This window comes from Homo sapiens, chromosome 11 (assembly GCF_000001405.40).
Source record: "Homo sapiens chromosome 11, GRCh38.p14 Primary Assembly".
NCBI lineage: Eukaryota > Metazoa > Chordata > Mammalia > Primates > Hominidae > Homo > Homo sapiens.
Window position 1 is genome coordinate 105,185,762 of NC_000011.10, and position 21,907 is coordinate 105,207,668.

Genomic DNA, 21,907 nt, shown 5'->3' on the forward strand with positions numbered 1-21,907 from the left:
CTTTATCTAAATTTGTATTAAGCTAGAATTTCATGAAAAGATAGAGTATAGTACAGCCATGGCTGTAAAAACATGTATACTTGCCAAAAAGGAATTCTCCACTTGCAAATATATGTGAGAACAAAATATTAAAAGAAGAGCCAAAACAAAGGTAAAAGAATACAAAATTGTAGAAAGACATCTTGATAGTTCAACAGAGCTTTATTTTTTGGTCTGCTATTTTAGAGCTTGAAGACTGGTCTTTTAAGCTAACCTAATCAAACAAAAATAAAGGAAAAGAAATTCTTTTTTTTTCCTCCCTTTTTTTAAAGTGCAGTGGCGTGATCTCAGCCCAGGCAACCTCCATCTCCCAGGTTTCAGTGATTCTCCTGCCTCAGCTTTTTGTATTTTTAGTAGAGACAAGGTTTCATCATGTTGGCCAGGCTGATCTCGAACTCCTGACCTCAAGCGATCCACCCACCTCAGCCTCCCAAAATGCTGGGATTACAGGTATGAGCCACTGCACCCGGCCCTGGAAAATGAATTTTAAAATATAAATGAAGTATTTGAGACATATGAGATTATATAAAGTGATCAAACCTATGAATTCTTGACATTCCTCAGAGAGAAGGAGAAAAAGTAAGCAATCTGAAAAATATATTTGAGGAAATCTTTCAAAAAAATTTCCTTAATCTCGCTAGAGAAGTAGATAATCATGTTGAAGAAATCCAGAGAACACTTGTGAGATATTATACAAAATGAATATCAACAAGGCATATAGTCACCAGACTGTCCAAGGTCAATGCTAAAGAATCTTAAAAGCACCTAGATATAAAGGTCAGATCACATAGAAAGGGAGCTCCATCAGGCTAATAGTATACTTCTCACCAGAAACCTTTATAAGCCAGAAGAAATTGGGGGCCTATTTTCTGCATTCTTAAAGAAAAGAAATTCCAGCCAAGAATTTCATATCCTACCAAACTAAGCTTCATATAAGAAAGAGAAATAAAATCTATTCTGGACAAGTAAGTACTAAGGGAATATTTTACCACTAGACCTGTCTTACAAGAGATCCTTAATTAAGGTAGTTTTAAACATGGAAATAAAAGAATGATACGTGCTACCACAAAAGCACATTTAAGTACCTAGCCAACAGACCCTATAAGCAACCACACAATAGAAACTACAAAACAACCAACTAACAACATCATGATAAGATTGACACTTCATGTATCAATATTAAACTTGAATGTAAATGGTCTAAATGCCCCATGTAAAAGGCTAAGTGTGGCAAGCTGGATTAAAAACAAGACCCCTCTGTCTCCTCTCTTTAAAAGACTTATCTCACATGTAATGATATCCATAGATGCAAAATAAAGCATTGGAGAAAGATCTACCACAGGAATGGAAAACTAAAAAGAGTAGAGGTCACTATTCTTATATCTGACAAACTTTAAATCAACAACAGTGAAAAGAAGACAAGGACATTACATAGGGAAAAGGTTTGTTTCACCAAGAAGATTTAACTATTCTAAATATATACATCCCCAATGCTTAAGCACTCAGATTCACAAAAAAGTACTTCTAGACCTATTAAAAGACTTAGCTGTACAATAATGATGGGCAACTTCAACAGCAGAAAGATAACAAAGATATTTTGTACTTAAACTCAAGACTTGACCAGTTGAACCTAATAGACATCTATAGAATACTCCACCCATCAACAACAGAATATACATTCTTCTGCTCTGCGCACAGAATACACTATAAGATCAATCACATGCTCAGCCATAAAGCAAGCCTCAACAAATTAAAAAAATAAATAAAAATCATACCAACCATACTCTTGGACCACAGTGGAATAAAAACAGAAATAAATCAATACCAAGAAGAGCTCTCGAAACTACAAAATTATATGAAAATTAAACAACTTACTACTGAATAACTTTTAGGAAACAACCATATTAAGCAGAAATTTAAAAAAAAGTCTTTGAAATGCATAAAAACAAAGACAACATACCAAAATCCCTGGTATGCAGTAAAAGCAGTGTTAAAAGGAAAGTTCACAGTGGTAAACACTTACCTCACAAAGTCAGAAATATCTCAAATAAAGGACTTAAAATCACCCCTAGAAAAACTAGAAATAAAAGGACAAACTAACTCCAAAGCTATCAGGAGAAAAGAAATACGTAAAATCGGAGCAGAGCTAAATGAAATTGACACCATAAAGTCCATGCAAAGAGTCAACAAAACCCAAAGTTGGTTCTTTGAAAGGGTGAACAAGATCAATAGACTGCTAGCTATATTAACAAAGAAAAAAAGAAAATCCAAATAAGTTCAATCAGAAACAGCAAAGTGACATTAAAACTGATAAGTGATGTTATAACTATAAGTGACATTATAACTAATCTCAGAGAAACATAAAGAATTTTAAGGACTATTATAAACACTTCTATACACACAAACTAGAAAATCTAGAGGAAATGGATAAATTCCTAGAAACACACAATCTTCCAAGATTGAATAAGGAAGACATTGCAACCCTAAACAGACCAGTATCAAGTTCTGAAATTAAATCACTAATAAAATAAAAACTGCCAGCCAAAAAACAAAAGCTCCAAACCAAATGAATTCACAGCCAAATTTTATTTATTTATTTATTTATTTCGAGACAGAGTCTTGCTCTGTCGCCCTGGCTAGAGTGCAGTGGCAGCAATCTCAGCTCACTGCAACCCAGGTCCAAGAGATTCTCCTGCCTCAGCCTCCCGAGTAGCTGGGATTTCAGGCATGTACCACCACACCTGAATCACTTTTATACTTTTATTAGAGATAGGGTTTTGCCATGTTGACCGGGCTGGTCTCAAACACTGGGCCTCAAGTGATAGGCTGACCTAAACCTCCCAAAGTGCTGGGATTACAGGCATGAGCCACCCTGCCCAGCTGTCACAGCGAAATTCTACCAGATTACAAAGAAAAGCTGGTATCAATTCTACTGAAATTATTGCAAAAAATCAAGGAAGACAAATTTTTTCCTAATTTATTCTGTGAAGCCAGCCAGCATCACACTGATAACAAAAGCTGGCAAAGACACAGTGAAAAAGGAAAATTACAGGCCAATATCTGTAATAAATATAGGTGTAAAAACCCTCAATAAAATCCTAACAAGCTGAATCCAATAGCACATCAAAAAGTTAATTCACCATGATCCAGTCGGCTTCATTTCTGGGACGTAAGTTGGTTCAAAATATACAAATCAATAAATATAATCCACCACATCAACAGAATTAAAAGCAAAAATGATATGACTATCTCAATAGACATGGGAAGCTTTCGATGAAATCCAACATCCCTTCATGATAAAAACACTCAAGAAATTCAGCATGAAAGGATCATATCTCAAATAAGAGTCATCTATGACAAACCCACAGCCAATATAATACCAAACTTCATTGATGGAATCATTCTCAACCCAAACCTCAGAATCATGCAATACACACAGGTAACAAACGTGCGCATGTACCCCTGAATTTAAAGTTGAAAAAAAATCTGAAAGGTTTAAAAAAATAAGGTATAAAAATACACCCACTGAAATATAAGACAGTATCAAGTTTACAGAAATCTACAAGTGTGTTTTTATCCACTAGGGTTAAGCTGGAAGAATTTGGGGAGATGAGAGTATTTGGGGAGATAATGGCTAGTAATGATGGCTCTTGCATCCTACTCTAAGCAGTGTGGTCTTTAAAGTAAAAGTAGCAGTTAGCACTGAAGCATTTATGCTAGAACAACTAAATTCCCAAATTTAAATCTTAGATAGTTCATTCTGAAAGCATTAATTGAGGTGGTTTCAAAGAGAAAGAGATAATATCAGATAAACCTAAAAGGTTGAGCTGAAGTAATAGGCTCAAGTGAGAAGTAAAATCTGAAGTAAATCAAAAATTAAGTTGTAAATAATCTAGTGGACATGATAAATAAGAGAGAAAGGGGAAACTCTTGAGTAATTTCCTTTTCTGAAATACTTGAATTACTGAATACAGTCATCTACTAAATTGCGACACCCACGGGAAAAAAACATGCATGCTGTAGGTGATGATGAGTTTGTTATTAGCTTTACTTTGAGATTATTTTAGGACATCCAAATTAAGCTGTTTGCAGGATTGAAATATCTGCACATTAGAGGGGCATATGTGTCTGAAGATCAGGAATTCAGTCAGGGATAGAGATTCAGATTGTGGGTCACCATGATGCAATTGGTAGTGAAAATAATCAGAGAAATAGAATAACTCATTATGTAGGATAAGATTAGGATCGAATAAAATCAGAATCTCAGTGGACACCAAGACTGGCAGGAAGGCAAAAAAACACTAGAGTACAAGGAGATTGAGAACAATTTGAGACTAAGAAAGGGTCAGAGAATGGGAGGTTCTTAAAGACAGAGAAGTCAGGGAGTGACATTTTTTAAGTGATTTGTGGTCATCAAGATCAATGTCACTGGAAGGATTACATTGTTTCTGGCACAACAGTGGTTATTGGTGACTTCACAAGAGCACTTTTAATAGAATACAACAAATATAAAATATATTACTGGAAACTAAGTGAAGATTTTCAATTTTATAAATGGTGCATAGGCAACAGGCATTTCTGGTCTCTCTGAAAACCCAACTAAAGTGACATTAAGTTATTTTTGAATATATATAAGCAAAAAATCAAAGAAAACAGATTTTAGTACATAAAATGTTATTTTTGGAATATAGAAAGCATACAGATGAATAGTAACTGAGTGTATACATGAAAAATCCAGAACATGACAGCTTGGGTAATGACAATTTAAAAAAATCATGATTTATGGTACAGAACCATGGAAAGTGTCAAAAATTGGAGTCGCAAATTATCTCTGAAAGCCAGAGTGTGAAGTGGGACAGAAAACAAAAGATTTGTTGAAAGTGTCTTTAGGAGCAGGTAGCTGCCCTGATGTTCTCCCCAAGTCCAACAAACTAGTCAATTGCCCTTTCTTGAGCTCTGCAGGAAAAAAAAAAAAAAAAAAGGATTATTCTCTGAAGATGTTGAATTACAGAGACTGTGAATTGGAGACATCTTGACCAGCTAAGGTCAAAGATGAGGCACCCCCCTGGACACATGGAACCAGGCGATCGAGGGTGTACTGAATGGAGGTCCTCTTGCCCCCATGGCTGCCTGCCTCCCACTACTCTGGCCTCTATGCTTTTCTGTTGTTGGCAGATGACTGGAGGATTTCTTTCTGAGGAAACTGCCCTGTAGAATAGAGAACTACAAATTCCCCGCAACGTGAAGTTTACCTACACAACAATCCTGCCCATGTACCCCTAAACCTAAAATAAAAGGTAAAAAAAAAACAACAAAAACCTTGTACCCTACCTAAATACAAATTCATGATTAAACAAGCCATTACCACATACATAAATCTTCCTATTAGAATGTTAGGACCTACTTATTTTGATTGGACAGCCAAGGATCACCAGGTATTTGAGAAGCTCCTTAAAAACAAAACACAAAAAAATGCACATGAAAATCCAAAGATAGAAAAAAGAACAAATAAAAACATCAGAGATCATATGGGGAATAAAAAACACTCATATAAAATTATAATTCTCATCTTCAAATCTAAAAATACTATATTACATTTATGATATGAGAGTATTCAGAGAATACAAATTTTTAGAAATGTGAAATCTTTTGACAAAAATAAAAACAAATGATTGAAATGTTGAAAAGCAATGAATAGAAAATTTTGCAGGTGAAAAAAATAATTTTAAAATAATAGAATTCTAAAAGGTTAACAACAACAACAACAACAAAAGCTCAGTCTAACAGGCCAACTAATGAGTTCCACTGAGAGAGACAATGATGGGGAGGATATTATGAAAGCATCACTTAAGAAATTTTTCCAGAATAGAAGGATAAGATTTTCCACAAAAAAAAAGGGTCCACTGAGTATCCACAATGTGACTCAGATTCATCAATACTCATGACTACTCTTCATAACTATACAATTTCAGGACATTTGGGAAAAGTCCTAAGAGCATCTGGAAAGGAAAAAAATGGGTTACATACAAAGGGCTTATACAAAGGAATAAAAATGACTTCTTACTTCTAACAAGCAACACTGGAAACTAAAAAAGAACTGAACAATGGATTCAGTTTCTGAGGGAAAGTCTTTTCTCTCCTGGAAGTCTATGAATCTCACTGCAAACTAAATGCAAGGATAAAAATATTTTCAAACATGCAAGGGCTTAAATTAACTTTCTCTGTGCACCTTTTTCTGTGTTACAGAGTATCTATAGAACATTGTTGAAGTATATATTTCATAAAAAACGAAGGAATAGATTTAGGAAGGACCCAGGAATCAGGGCATTTAACACAAAAGGGTGTAAAGAGGAGACTAGAGAAAAATCCAGTTTAGACTGGAACAAGAGGAGTAAAGATTTCAGGAGAGATATTTCAAACACACACATGTACACACACACACTGGTTTCTTTGTAGTCAAATACATAAAGTAATTTATCAGTTCTTCTTGTGTGCATATGTGTGAGTGTATAAGGTAGTGCAGGGATGTGAAAAAGAGCCATATCCTCATTCTTCAAGCTAAGAAACCAAAAGATATTATCTAAAAATACTTAAAACCACTAAGTAGCAGTGAAAACTCAGTATTTAAAATATGCAGTTTAAATGTATAGTCTATGGGAAATTACATTGGAATATTCAAAATTCAATTAATGACATGAGACATCTAAAGTTTTTTACACATTAAAAAAGGTAAAGCATATATATTAAATATCTCAAAGTACAACAGAAATTTTCAAAAAAATATACTGGAATGAAAAGAAAATGTCTACGTAATAATTTTCACCAAACCATAATATCAACAAATGCTGAAAATAATAATTCTTATAAATGATATATTATTTCCCATATTTCAGGAAGCTTAATCCACTTTATTTCCTGGAAACTCCTTTCTCTTTCACTCTTCACTGTCAGTTCTCTTCAGAGGCAGATATTGCTAAACGTACACCAATATGTGTTCTCTAATTTTTCTGTATCAATAGAAGTTCTGATTTTTATGTAGGCATATGGCTTTCCAGGATATATGGTAAATTTACCATCATTGTTTGTCACTACGTTTGGATCAATAGACTTTAAAGAGAAGGGCCTTGTGACAGTTTCTCTTATGTGTCCATTTGATGGGGTCATGAAGTGAGCAGATATTCGATTAAACATGATTCTGGGCGTGTCTGTGAGGATATTTCTGGATGGCTGAGATTAACATCTGAATCTGTAGACTGAGTAAAGTAGATTGCTCCTGCTCCTGTCCTCCACCAATGTGAGCAAAGCTCATCCCATCTGTTAAATAAAGGTCTGGATAGAGCAAAATTCTAGGCAACAAAGAATTCACTCTCTCTGTCTCATGGTCTTTGAACTGGGTTATCAGTACTCTCTTGCCTTAAGATTCAGTCTGACACATATACCTTTGGCTGTCCTGGTTCTCAGGTATTTTGAGCTGCAGTTCTTCGTACTTCCCAGCCTTCATAATAGTGTGAGCCAATGCCTTATACTCTGTGTGTGTGTGTGTGTGTGTGTGTGTATATATATAATATAAAATATAAATTTATCTTTTTTAATATTTTAAAATATACATATTATATATTATATACATAAAATACAGATGTAATATATACCATATATTAAAATATAATATTTTAATACTTTAAAATGTATAAATTTAATATTTTAAAATGTATTGAATATTTTATATTTAAATTTATATGTTATATATAGATATACAAAATTTAAAAATATATAAAATTTGTTCCTCATAGAAGTACAGGGACAAATCTTTCAAAAGAAGGGTTTGACCTTCTTGGCCAGACGCAGTGGCTCACACCTGTAATCCCAGCACTGTGAGAGGCTGAGGCGGGTGGATCACGAGGTCAAGAGATCGAGACCATCCTGGCCAACACAGTGAAACCCCATCTCCACTAAAAATTAAAAAAAAAAATTAGCTGGGCATGGTGGTGCGTGCCTATAGCCCCAGCTACTAGGGAGGCTGAGGCAGAGAATCACTTAAACCCGGGAAGCGGAGGTGGCGGTGAGCTGAGATTGTTCCGCTGCACTCCAGCCTGGGTGACAGAGCGAGACTCTATCTCAAAAAAAAAAAAAAAAAGAAAAAAAAAGAAGCAGTTGACCTTCTTTATACTGAATGAGTGTGAAGGATGGAGCTCAAGCAGAATCTTGATCTATTTTGGGGAAATCAAAGGCCAAGATAAGTTAAAAGGAACCAGTAAAGGCACCTCAAGTGGCTTATCATTCAGACCACCTATCTTTGAAATTCTTTTTATGAGGGAGATAAATAAATTTTTATTTTACTTAAGTTAATATTATTTTTTATTTTTGTTTTGCCCCTCATAATTTAACCTCATTCTAAATGATGAATTTCCTAAAATAGTCTCATAAAAATGCATGTTTTTGATACTTGGTTTAATTGAACAAGATCACATGCTTTCAGATTCTCCAATGCTGTGCTTTTCTTAACATGTTCTTTTCAATCTCCTGGAAGCAGTCATTTTATAATGGAAAAGATAATGTTAATAAAGCTGCATGATTCAGTGAGAACACAGACTGTTTCTTTCTGTTAATGAACCATCTTTATACTAACAATGATGTAAATATAAAGATGTAAGCATAATAGTGATGTCCACACAGGGTTACCCAGAAGGTAAAAAAGGAATCAAATGCTGAGTTGGTAAAGCTACTTACCCAAAAAGCCACAGCCATAACAACAGTATAAGGCAAGTGTCTGTGTCCAGCTGCATCACAGTCCTGGACATCACCACCAGTAGAGCGCAATCCATGGTTCCCAGTGTGAGAACAAAATAAATTTGAATCATACCACTGGCATAAGAGATGTTCTTCTGTGGGCCCCAGAGATTGTACTGTAATTAAAAGATGGAACTGATGGTGTAGCAGAAATCCAGAAAAGAGAATAAGTACCGAGAGTGTGGGGATGGGAGTCCAGGTATGACAGAATGATGCTGAACAGCTTGCCTATCAGTGTCATGAAGCAGAATATCAAGAGAACTACAAAAATAACTATTTCCAGAGGAGGTCAATTAGAAAGACCCAGTAGAATAAAGTAATTTTCAAGACTTATGTTGATATTTCCCATTATTATTCATTTTCTGTCACCTGAGCAAAAAAAATCATATACATTCAAAAGAAAAAAAAAGTAAGAAAATGCTCCAAAAATCACAGAGAATCATGGAAAATAAACAAGTCATTTTGAAGGGTCTACTATTGTTCAATTCTAGGATAATTTGAACATTGAGAAAAACTGTGATAGTAATGAATTTAACAAACAAAGAATCATAAAAGCACATACCAATATAAAAAATAAAAGAATAAAGAAATAAATGCTGAAGACAAAGCTATTTCTTAAGTAGAATCCTAAGTAATCCTCACTAGAATGATGGAGTTAGAAAAACAGAAATGGATGTTAAAACTATTGGATGAAAATCTGATAAGGAAAAGAATATTTACACAGTTTAAAATATCTCTCCACAAACTACTTAGTTCCATAATGAAAAATAGTAAACTTTACAGTAGAAAACAGATCATTTGATATCATGATCGATATTAACCTCACCAATGTTGTAATAGACCAATATCATATGCTTGCTGATATGATGCTCTGAACAGGACATAATATCACTTCAATGTTATTCCTGCTGAAAGTGCACAGCCTAATTCTAATAACAAGGAAACATGGAACAGACTCAAACTGAAAAAAGTTTAACAAATAAGCTCGCCTGTACACTTCAAATACATCAAGGCCAACGAAGACAAAAAAGCTGAGGAACTAGACTAGATTAAAGGAGATCAATGAAACATTATATCTGCACTAGTCTGTTTTCACGTTGCTGATAAAGGCATGCCCAGGATCTGGTAATTTATAAAGCAAAAAAGGTTTAATGGACTCACAGTGCCACATGGCTAGGGCGGCCTCACAATCATGGTGGAAAGCAAAAGGCATGTCTTACATGGCGTCAGACAAGACAGAATGAGAGCTAAGTGAAAGGAGAAACCCCTTATAAAATCATCAAATCTCGTGAGACTTATTCATTACCACAAGAACAGTATGGGAGAAACCACCTCATGATTCAATTATCTCCCAGTGGGTCCCTTCCACAACCCATGAGAATTATGGGCTTTACAATTCAAGATGAGATTTGGGTGGGGAAACAGCCAACCCATATCAATATCTAAATGTGTGATCCTGAATTCAGGAAAAAAAAAACAGATATTAACAACATTATTAAGAAAATTGGAAAAATCAGAATGTAGACTATGGATTTAGATAATAATATTGTATCCATATAAAATTTGCTGATTTTGGTAACTATACAGTGGTCCGTAAAATAACGTTCTTGTTTTTAGGAAATAAACACTGGTATATTCAGGAAGAAAGGAAAAATGATATAGGCACAAATTAATGATGATTTACAACTAGCTTTTTTTCCTCAAAAAAATAGTTGGCATATGTCTGTGTTTGCATGTGTATTTATGTAAGATAGCCAACAATCACAGCATGAAATGGAGTAGAAAAAAATCACATTTTATACTTAAAACTATTTCTTAAAAAAATCACCAACTTTGTATATGAGCCAATTACATTAATGATTGAGCCTGTCTCCAAATCGTGCAAATTACGTAATAAATAAGCATCATGTGAAAACATTCATAATGGTCACCGGACTAAATAAAAGGAATCTTATAGCATGATAGTTTAGACACTAGGATCTTGAATCAAGTAGCCTAGATCCAAATCTCAAAAATGCCAACTCAACTGGGAGCTACTGTCTCAATATCTGTAAGTGTATTTTCACATATATAAAATGGGACTAATAACAGTATCCACCACAAGCTCAGTCATCTGGGTTAGGAAAGGTCATTTGTATACATAGCTTAGCACAATGCATGGAATATGATGGACAGCTAATCAATGATATCACAGTATATGTGGCAGATGTTTACATAGGCGCTAAGTGTTCTGTGCGAGAAAGGTTGGCAGTGACGGCTAATATTTTTTAAAGTAGGTAGCTGAAACCTGTGAACTTTAAAATCTGACTTGCTCAGCTTCCCAAAAATCCCAAAAGTCTATGTGACACGTTCCTACAAATTCACAAGAGAAATCCTCCTGGAGGCCAACAGATATAGAAAGGGAAGGGGCAATAAAATGGAATTGTTAAGACCACTTGGGCAGCCAGATGCCTTTTCTTTAAGAGATGGGGCTGGGGAGCACTGAGCGGTGGCCCATCACATGATATTCACCTGGCAGAAAAGCTTGAAGTGTATGTTAGAAATTTCTGAACTGAGATGACGAGCTCGAGTTGAGTCAGCCCACGTTGTAAGGTTCTCACAACACTGGCCACTGCAAGATTTAATAATATTATGAGAAAAAGCCTGAGCAGCAGTAGCTCAGGACAGTGAACCCTAAGGCACCATTCAACCATGTATAAGCAGCAAAGGCTGCCGCCAAACATCGTCTACTTTGGAAGCCCTCCCAACATTTACAATGTTCACTTACTTTCTTAACTGCATTATAAATTAAAACACATTGTCATTTATCAGGGAATATGCATCATAAATGCATTAGGGGAATATCTTAAAAGAAACAAAGGATTATTCTTAACATTAGAATTATGAGTGACCCTTATGAATTTGCTAATTATTTTCCCTTCTGTAGATATTAGCAATGCCTTTTATCCACATTTGTATTTACATATGCTCACAACACACTCACTTGTGTTCTCTGCATTTACAAACAATTACTTCATAACAGACCTCCTACATAATTCAGCAGTCTCACTCCAGAGAGTGCAAACCAACCTATTCACACCCTCTCCCTCATGCCACTGACATACTCATGAGAAAGAAAAACAGATCTACTCAAAGATGTGATTCAGGAATCTAATTGTCAGTCCATTTCTGTTGCCATAAATTGAGATTTGTCTGGGCATCTTACCATATTTTTGTTTAATCTGCTGTCCCTGTATTCAGTTCTGATTTTCCATTTCTATCATTCAGTGATGTTGATTTTGTTATAACTCTGCAAAAGACTTGCGTATGTTTCATTGTTTTAAAAAATGAATGTGTTGCTTTTCACTAGGGAAGGGCTATAAGAAGCAATATATTTAAATAGTATTTTGTTCTAATAATAACTCAGGACAGAGAATGCTGACCACGTTGAACAAAGGGTTATGGATTTAAAAAATACTCATTAATATTTTGATACAACCATAAATGTCATCTTTTATTTATTGAATAAATATTTATTAATAATTCAATAAATTGCCAGGCCCTAGGGATTCTGCTATGAGCAAGATGTCTAAAATTTTATGCCAGGATCTAGGGGATTTAAATTAACAATATACGAACAATTTTTTGAGGTCTCCAACTAAGTGACAAAGTATAGTTCTGAAATCAAGGCGAAATAAGTGAGTACCTGTTGAAGGAGCTGACAATGGTGTCAGATACTGAAATATAATGGTAGCTGGCAAATGCTGTAATAGCTCTATGCACAAAGTGACTGAAGTCACATGGGAGTAGGCTATATAACCCGAATAAGAGGTCTAAGACATTATCTTGGAGCAGACAATGCTTGGGATGTGTTCACAAGCTGAAGGAGAAATCCAGAATTGAGGAATGGATGGAGGTAAGGCTGGAGAGGGAATATGTGGGCAAAAGAAGGCTGGCTCTTCCTCAAGGAATCCCACTGGGTGGCATTCCTTATCATAGCAGAGCTGAAAATCCTACTTTGGACAGCACCCTAAGTAAGGAGAGCTTGGCTTCTCAAAGAACCCCCTCACTCTTCTTTAGTTGGGCTCAAAATACTGATATGTAAACACCAAATTAATTGACTTATTTGTAACGAAAAATAACTCTTGGCCGGGCGCAGTGGCTCACACCTGTAATCCCAGCACTTTGGGAGGCCAAAGTGGGCGATTCACGAGGTCAGGAGTTCAACACCAGCCTGACCAACATGGTGAAACCCCGTCTCTGCTAAAAATACAAAAATTAGCCGGGCATGCTGGCAGGCACGTGTAATCCCAGCTACTCAGGAGGCTGAGTCAGGAGAATCGCTTGCGCCCAGGAGGCGGAGGTTGCAGTGAGCCAAGATCGTGCCACTGCACTCCAGCCTGGGCAACAGAGCAAGAATCTGTCTCGAAGAAAAAAAAAAAAAAAGCAAAGAACGAAAAATAACTCTCATGTGGGCTTGTATGCTTATGTAAATATGGACATCATAACCTTTTCCCATAGGTACAACTATACAAGCAGCCAATTAAAATTAGAAGCCTGTTTGGAGACAGCAGAATCTCCAGAGAACATTAGGATAACATAAGTTGATCCATTTGCTTTCACAATCAAATAGTTGTGTTTTGTCTTTTGTTTAATCAAAGGAAAAATTCAAATTTCATTTTTTTTAACTTTTATTTTAGGTTTGGGGGTACACATGAGGGTTTGTTATATAGGTAAACTTGTGTCACAAAGGTTTGTTGTACATATTATTTCATCACCCAGGTATTAAGCCCTGTACCTATCTTTTCTGCTTCTCTCCCTCCTCCCACCTTCCCACACTTCCACCTCAAGTAGACCCCAGTGTCTGTTGTTTCCTTCTTTGTGTTCTTAAGTTCTTATGATTTAGCTCCCACTTATAAGTGAGAACATGTGGTATTTGATTTTCTGTTTCTGCATTGGTTTGCTAAGGATAATAGCTTCCAGCTCCATCCATGCTCCCACAAAAGCGCTCTGTTGCCAGGCTGCAGTGCAGTGGCACAGTCTCGGCTCACTGCAACCTCTGCCTCCCTGGTTGAAGTGATTCTCCTGTCTCAGCCTCCCAGGTAGCTGGAAATACAGGCGTGCGCCACCATGCCCAGCTAATTTTTGTATTTTTAGTAGAGATGGGGTTTCGCCATGTTGGCCAGGCTGTCAATCTCTTGACCTCTTGATCTGCCCATCTCGGCCTCCCAAAGTGCCGGGATTACAGGTGTGAGCCACCGTGCCCAGCCAGTATCATTCTTTTTTATGGCTGCGTGGTATTCCATGGTCTACACATACCATGTTTGTTTTATCCAATCTATCATTGATGGGCATTTGGGTTGATTCCATATCTTTGGTATTGTGAATAGTGCAGCAACGAACATTGATGCAATCCCATTACTGAGTATATACCCAGAGGAATATAAAAATTTGTATTTCATAGGCAAAGGCTTCTTTTTTCCTATGAGAGTGTTTGGAGGGGCTTCAGTAACTACAACTTTTTTTCTATTTATTGTGAGTGCCAGGCAGTGCACTAATTATCTGGAACCACTATTTTCCCTTGTAAGACTACTCAGCTAATTTATGGCTGGTCCAAGATGTGAATCCAGATCTGTTTTCAAAACCTGTGTAACATCTATGCTTCAATAACCAATAAATTTTCCTTCTCATTGGCATATCCTCTACTGAGGCTAGCAGCCCAGATAGCAGAATTTGATGGTGGTTTGAAGTACAGATCTGTCACTTATTAACTGTGGAGCCTTGTAAAAGACCTTGAACTCTTTGAGCCCCAAGTTTCTAGCAGGTAAAAAACAGAGGAGATTATATATATATATATATATATATATATATATATATATATATATATATATATATCCATACACATATATAAACACACAAACATACATATGTATAGTGTGTATTACAGTACAATTTTTTAACACAAAGTATCTATTTTTATTATTATAAATTACTTACAAATAGTTCATTTGCAGACTTAGTTATTTTGCATATATCTACTTTCATTCACTAAGTCCTGCTTTCTTTGTCTCTCAGAGTCATTGTCATTTCCTCTACTCTAAGTCACTGGAGAAAGTCTTTCTGAAAATTATCTCATGCTGACATCCTCTAATACAGTTAGTGGACTAGACTGCAGGTGATCTAATACATCTACCTGTTCAGAGTGCCCAGAGGGATGAACAATTTCTCACCAGGAAAAAGGTGAGTGATGTCTCCTGTCAGCTCCTCCCAGTGTGAGGATAAAAAGAATTTGTAATTTTTTAGTACATTTTGTTTTGAAGGGTCTCAAAATTTCTTAAATATAAAGTCACATCAATTCTCATAACCCCAACCTCAGACTGGTGCATATGATAAAATCTACAACGTAAGGTCAATAATAGTTCCTTGGAAAATCAGCCATGTTTATAGATGACTCTAATTGTCACTGTAAGGCAGTAAGGGTTGGTAGCAATTTGCAGAAATGGGGCTCAGTTCAGCAGACAAAACATTAAAATTTGAAAGCTAGTCAGGGTCCTATCATTTTGTGCAGTATTTCAAAGGCCAGTATTTCCTGGTTATTTAAATATAATCGGGCAACATACAAGGTGCTAGTCAGTAATGTCATATCTTTTCTTAGAGCAATAGAAACCATATTATCTCCCCTAGCTTAAATATAAAGCATTTTATACCGTCTTTAGATAAATTATTTTATTTTAAAGGAAGGGACTTTTATTTTCAAGTTTATCGCTATAGTGCCAAATTTATGATAGTTACCTTCAGCACAGGGCAATAAAGATGACTTGCACTTTCTGTATCCGTTTATGAGGTTTGAGATGTATTTTTTACGTATATTCATACTATATGTATCAGCTTTGATATTTTATATTCTAACCTATTATACTTATTTGCTCTTTAGTTATATGAAAAATGAGCCCAAAGATTTGGGGATGAATTCCTAATAAAAATATTAAATTTTTTGATGTCTATAAATTAACCCTTCTTGGTACACCTCTGAGACCTTTCGTCTCATACTCAGTAGGAAACATTTATACTTTCATTTATTTTTTCCTCCTCCACAAAAGTGCAGAAATTAATTATATCTTTGAATGCTTGCCTCCAAGGGAGGAAATTTTTCACTGTATGTATTTTATGACTGAGCAAAAACTTTTTAAGAGGAATATTATTTACTGTGATTCATCTGTGCCATGTGCATTGCTAAATACATATCAACTAGAAGAGAACCCCAAGGGTATAAAATAGGATTTTATCTCTCCATATAAATTTGTAATCCTATGAGTATATTTTACTGTTTTCCCAATTTCTGTAATTTCCACATTTCACTTAATAAAAGCTTGAAATTTATTCTTATTTTTCATTTGGTATTTTTTAAACATCCAGATAAGTAATTATTGTTAAAAAGAAATAAAGGTACTTTTACTAAATTCTTCTCCATTTCAGTAAGTTGCCATGCTATTTTTTGTCTAACGTGTAATGCTACTTTGGAAATGATGAAGTTGTTAAACTCGTAGGACCTTAATGATCAGCATGTCCAATGACCACATCTCTTTATTTTATAAATGAGGAAAGACCTGAGGTCCTAAAAACTGGAGTTGACTAAGATCACACAGGTAGTCATTAAGTTTAATTATTATTATTATTAACTAGAGCTTAGAAGCAAGGACTTCTGCCTCCAATTAATTTGCTGCACTATTTAGGTTCTGCTCCACTCCCTAAACAAGCTTAGTGGTGCAAGAGTACTCTGAGGGTTATCTGTTTTTATTAGTTGCATTTTAAAAAATCTACTCATTTGGGCATTAAGTGCTTGGGAAAAAACTGCTTATTTGGGCATTAAATCCATTAAAGTCCATCTGTTCTTTGGATCATGAGTGAGCAGAAAAGGCCCGTCACCCTAGACAATGGTGCTTCGTAAATTTTTTTTTTTTAGACAGCAAGTATGTCAGTCGACAAATGCAGTATCAAGTCTAGATCTTCACCATGATATCTGGTGCTGAGGTTTGCATGGCTTTTGACATGTGAGCCACTTGAGGGCAGGAACTCTTTTATTCAGCTTTGTGTCAGACACGTGCTTTCTCTCAGAACATCTTGAAGTAGATTAATTACATAAAACAGAACAGAATCTATAGCTGAGGCTGGCCCTTAGCACTGCCATAAATATGAAGCAGAATAAAATATTTTCTATGGAAAATTACTTGAAAGCCAATTCTTCATTCTACAATTGAGAAGATAGCTCTCAAAGTCAAGATTTATCCCAAAATGACAATAGAACTAGGACTTGGAAAAAAGCCTACTGCGGCTATTGTACAACCACAGCATTTATTTAAACCCTGACCTTGCTTCTGTCTCATTCAGAGTCGCTATTTGCTGACAATCGTGCTATGAGATAATCTCCCTTGCAGATTTATGTTCTTCCTGGACCTTTTCTCAGAAAGACATATGCCTTGCTCACAATTTTTTGCATTTCCAGGTACTTTGGCTGCTGCTGTGGTTTTATCTGAACTTCAGCTTTAGTGAATCATTAAAGCAGTTCTTTGATCTGCCCTACTTGCCTTGCCTGAAGTTGACACAAAGAAAGTACTATTTCTTTTACTCTGGATCATTTTGAACTTTGCCCAGTCTTATGATTTACTTTATTCCAGGTAAAACCAACACAATAAAAGTCCCATCTATAATAAAAAGGACATTTATTACCCATGTTTTATAATAAACTGATATCTACTTTCCATATATATGCACATTCTAAAATTATTTCCATATTTCATAAAAGCAAAATCTCATATATGAAGAGAAAAATACAGTTCTGTATTTGCTCCAAAAATAGACACAGGTAACAATTCTCAGCAGGGTTATTACAGTTGATGTCATAGAAATTCCTTCAAATCTTAGTTATTATAACTAATATTAATCACTTTAAACAAGAATTTTGAGTTATACATTTTATGAATGATTCCAGGATACTGAAGGTAGTTTTGTGTTCAATACTGAACAAATGTGAGAAAATCAACATTTTCCCTTTTCATTTTTGCTTCCAAAGAACAGTATTAAACAGTCTTCCTCAATGATATCAGCTCTGCATCCACTTTCTAAGTGGAGTCCAGTGTATTTGGGATCCCCTTACACTTACTGAGTGATTCTCTAAATTCTCAGTTCATTTGCAATGTTAATATGGGGAGATAAAATTCTGGCATAAGCCAGGATTCTCAGGCTATGCTGCAGTTGCAAACACCAGAATCTCAGTGACTTGACATAATCAAAATTTATTTATTGCTTAAGCTATGGTCACTGTGGGTGAGAGAGATTCTCTAAGGTATCTGCACCCCAAGCAAGGGCTCAATAATTCATGAGGGCTTTGATCTCCTGCAACCTCCATATTAACATCCAATTTCATCATTGCCATGGCAGAAGAAGAGACGAAAATGCTTCAGGCTATAATGACCCATTCCACTTTCACTCTCAATCTACTGGTCCATTTCATGTTATATCTCTGTCTAACAGCAAGGGAGCTGAGAGTGTGTAACTCCCTTATACCTGGAAGGTAAGGAGAACTGAATATAGAGTAGCACGATAAACCCTGATTATACAATAAAGTGGTGGTTGAAAATAGCTAAGTGGAAATCATAAATCCATTTATGGTAGCATTTACTGTATCCTTAAATTGTGCTCTAAAATACACACAACCAATAACATCCGATATGACAATTTCCAACATGCCTTCGGGTTATATACAATCTTCCTCCTTTAAGTGGGAAATCATTATTATGAATTTCTAAGAAAAGAATGATGAGCATTGGGTAATATAGAGATCAATTAATAAAGCCGCTGAAGTGTTAAACAGCTATAAGTCACGTTTCTGAGTTCAATGGTAAACAATTAAGCCTCTTTTGCACAATATTTTTAAATGTATTTGGTATACTTTTTATTTTACATCGTAAGCTTTAGCATATAATCAAGTTGGCTAATATTTTGAGTGATTATTGGCAGCACATGTTTGTTAAGTCTGCTCAAATATATTAATAGTTTGGAACTCATTGTTAGGTCCACTGCTGAATATTATTTTTTGAGCCAAGAAGTCAAGTGGGTAAATTTTGCCACCACAGGGAATCATTTTGTGCAGAATTAGTGAGAGATAAAAATATATGTTTTTAATATAACCCTTACTTGAGACTTATCAATCATACAGTGCTGGGTCTATGTGTTAGGATGATTGCATTAGCATTAACTTGAAAAAATGGGAACTATAGGTCAAAAACATCCTTGACTTCCTCTCTAAAGTGCCTATTTATATCTGTTTAGATGAGAGACTGAAACCAATAATACTAGAAATTTAAAGTATACAGAAACTTTCATTCTATTTTGTAAAAACCTGGGTCTCATGGTGGTTTATTTTTAAATAAGAATTTTAAATATAAACAAAAATGTCTATTTTTCAAGTTAGTATAATAGTAGATACTGTTTTTTTTTTTTCTTTTTTTTTTTTTTTTGAGATGGAGCCTCGCTCTGTCCCCCAGGCTGGAGTGCAGTGGCGTGATCTGGGCTCACTGCAAACTCCGCCTCTCAGGTTCACGCCATTCTCCTGCCTCAGCCTCCCGAGTAGCTGGGACCATAGGCGCCCGCCACCACGCCCGGCTAATTTTTTGTATTTTCAGTGGAGGCGGGGTTTCACCGTGTTAGCCAGGATGGTCTCGATCTCCTGATCTCGTGATCTGCCCACCTCGGCCTCCCAAACTGCTAGGATTACAGGCGTGAGCCACCGAGCCCGGCCTAGTAGATACTATTTTTCAAGTTACTATCACCTACTCTATTATACATCTGGAAATGTTATTAAATACATACAATAGACCAGTACAAATGGTGTTTTTGGTAAACAAAAATGATTATTTTGTAAAAGAAAAAATAAGTGTTTAATTCAAATAGTGCTTGTAAAGGGTTAAAGTCATTTTATTGTTTTTTTATTGTTATTGTTTTGCACTAATAGATGGGAAAACTCTTCCAGATTTAGTTTAATTGATTAGAATATTTTGGCAGTAAAAATATAGGGTATACTTGCTATGCATTTTTTTTTTTATTATTAAAGCAACGTTTTTACAGAAAATTCCTATTCCCTAAACAATTTATTTTTTTCTGGCTTGCTGTTTTTGTGAGATAAGTTCTTCTATAAAGAACATCAGCCTATATTACAATAATCATGAAGGTGAGTTTTGCTATGAGTCTATTCCTATTTCCAATTCTACTGTAATATTGAGAAATATATCTATAAATTATAATAATTTTCCCTAATGTTCACCAGCCTTTTCTACTTCTATAGATGATATGTGTAGGTCCTGACCATTGCTCAAATATGCCACCACTACAGCCCAAGTTTAATAATGGGAAGGAAATGCAAGTTCTAAAAGCATGTTTCTTACATATCTAATTGTAAACTATTATAAATGATGATAATAATCACACTGAGTCTCGAAGGATGGCATTGTCTTTGAAACACTAGGGACCTTGTCTTCATGTTTGCCAGTCCACAAACTAAAATATATAAACAGGGTTCCCAGACTTTGGAGTTTATTGACACCAAATTCACAAGAAGGTGATACATAAACCAGAATATTTGTTCGTTTACAGTTATGTTGGGGGACATCTAGTCGATATTTCTAGCACTCTTTTCTAATTACCTGGATTATATTTAAGGATGTAGGGCTTTCCATGGTGCTTATAATTTAAATGGGAAAGCAAAATGTACAAAATGACAACAAAACATAAAACAACCACAGGATATTTTAAATGTGAATGCTACAAAACCTCACAGCCATGTAGCGGTTTCTGTAGAACGGAATGAGGGCAAATTATTTGAAGGAGGTGTGTTTAATTTATATTTTTTTATCAATTTAAAATGTAGAATCATTATTTTTTTCCAGTTATAACCCACAGAAACAAAACTAAAACAAATCGGAGAAAGTGAGTTGTTACTGTCTATACACATATAATTTCAAATTATTAAAGCATGCTATCATCCTCAAGACTACCACACTCTCCAACCTGCATCTCTACATCGCCCACCTTCTGCTGAGGCCTAATATCATGCATTTGGGGGAAGAATCTGTTTTGTTTATTTTATTTATTTATTTATTTATTTTTAAGTAGAAAGGAATTTATTGGCTCATACAGCTGTAAAGTCTACGGGTGGAGATGTTTGCATTTAAGCCTGACTAAATCCAGAAGTTTAAACAATAATATCAGCGTATCCATCCTGTGGTTCTATTTGTATTTGCATTTCTCCTCTTGATGGCCTCATTCTTTCATGCCTTAGACAAGATCTCAAAGAAGCTTACTCAGATCTTGGTGCTTACAGCCTACAATCCACAAGGCAGCGATATTTTGTCTCTCCAGCATCTACATTTGAAATCTTGGTGGAAGCTGTAATTGTCCCATCTTAGTTTATGTGATTATCATTTGAACCAATTACTAAAGATAAAATATTGGAATACCATGATGGGATTAACTCCCAGTCCTATGCCCACTGCTGTCATTCAGAGGCTAGCCATAACCATATGAGATGGGTGGTGTGGTGCTGGTAAAGCCTGATAGAAATTGATGTACTGAGCAGAAAAAGATTCTAAATATCAACTATGGCTGGGTTCATAGATTTCTCTGCAATAGTATTAAATTGATATTTGGTTAGTTCAAGGAATATTTAAAGTTGGATACAAAGGAAAACTTTTATATTTGGGTTATGTGTCTTGGCCTATCCGCGGATCAGTCTTTCTGGTAGGAGAATAATTCACTCACTATAGGAGAATAATAAAATTAACCTTGTGGTTGGGGAATAGACTATTTTACCAAAATTACACTGAGTTATGGAGAAACAAGCTTTCCTGGAGAGACAAAAAGTATCTTACAGGCAGAGAGTTGCAGCAAACAGCTTTTGGCACGTAGAAGTAACTACTGAAGGGATGTCAGGAGGGCACTAATAACATTTGTACAGTTTACTCTTTGCATGGCCCACTGGTGCTTCACATTTTTTCCACTCTGACCTGTATCTGATTTTTCAAGAGACTGGCCTATAACAATTTCTAAA

At 35.4% G+C, this 21,907-nt stretch overlaps 1 long non-coding RNA gene and 1 pseudogene across 1 annotated transcript in view; both read right to left on the reverse strand.

The window, feature by feature from the left end:
• LOC105369468 (uncharacterized) overlaps nucleotides 1-21,907 on the reverse strand; it is a 383,452-nt gene that overhangs the window by 27,846 nt on the left and 333,699 nt on the right. The window lies entirely within an intron of this gene.
• On the reverse strand, nucleotides 8,339-9,275 carry OR2AL1P (olfactory receptor family 2 subfamily AL member 1 pseudogene; annotated as a pseudogene).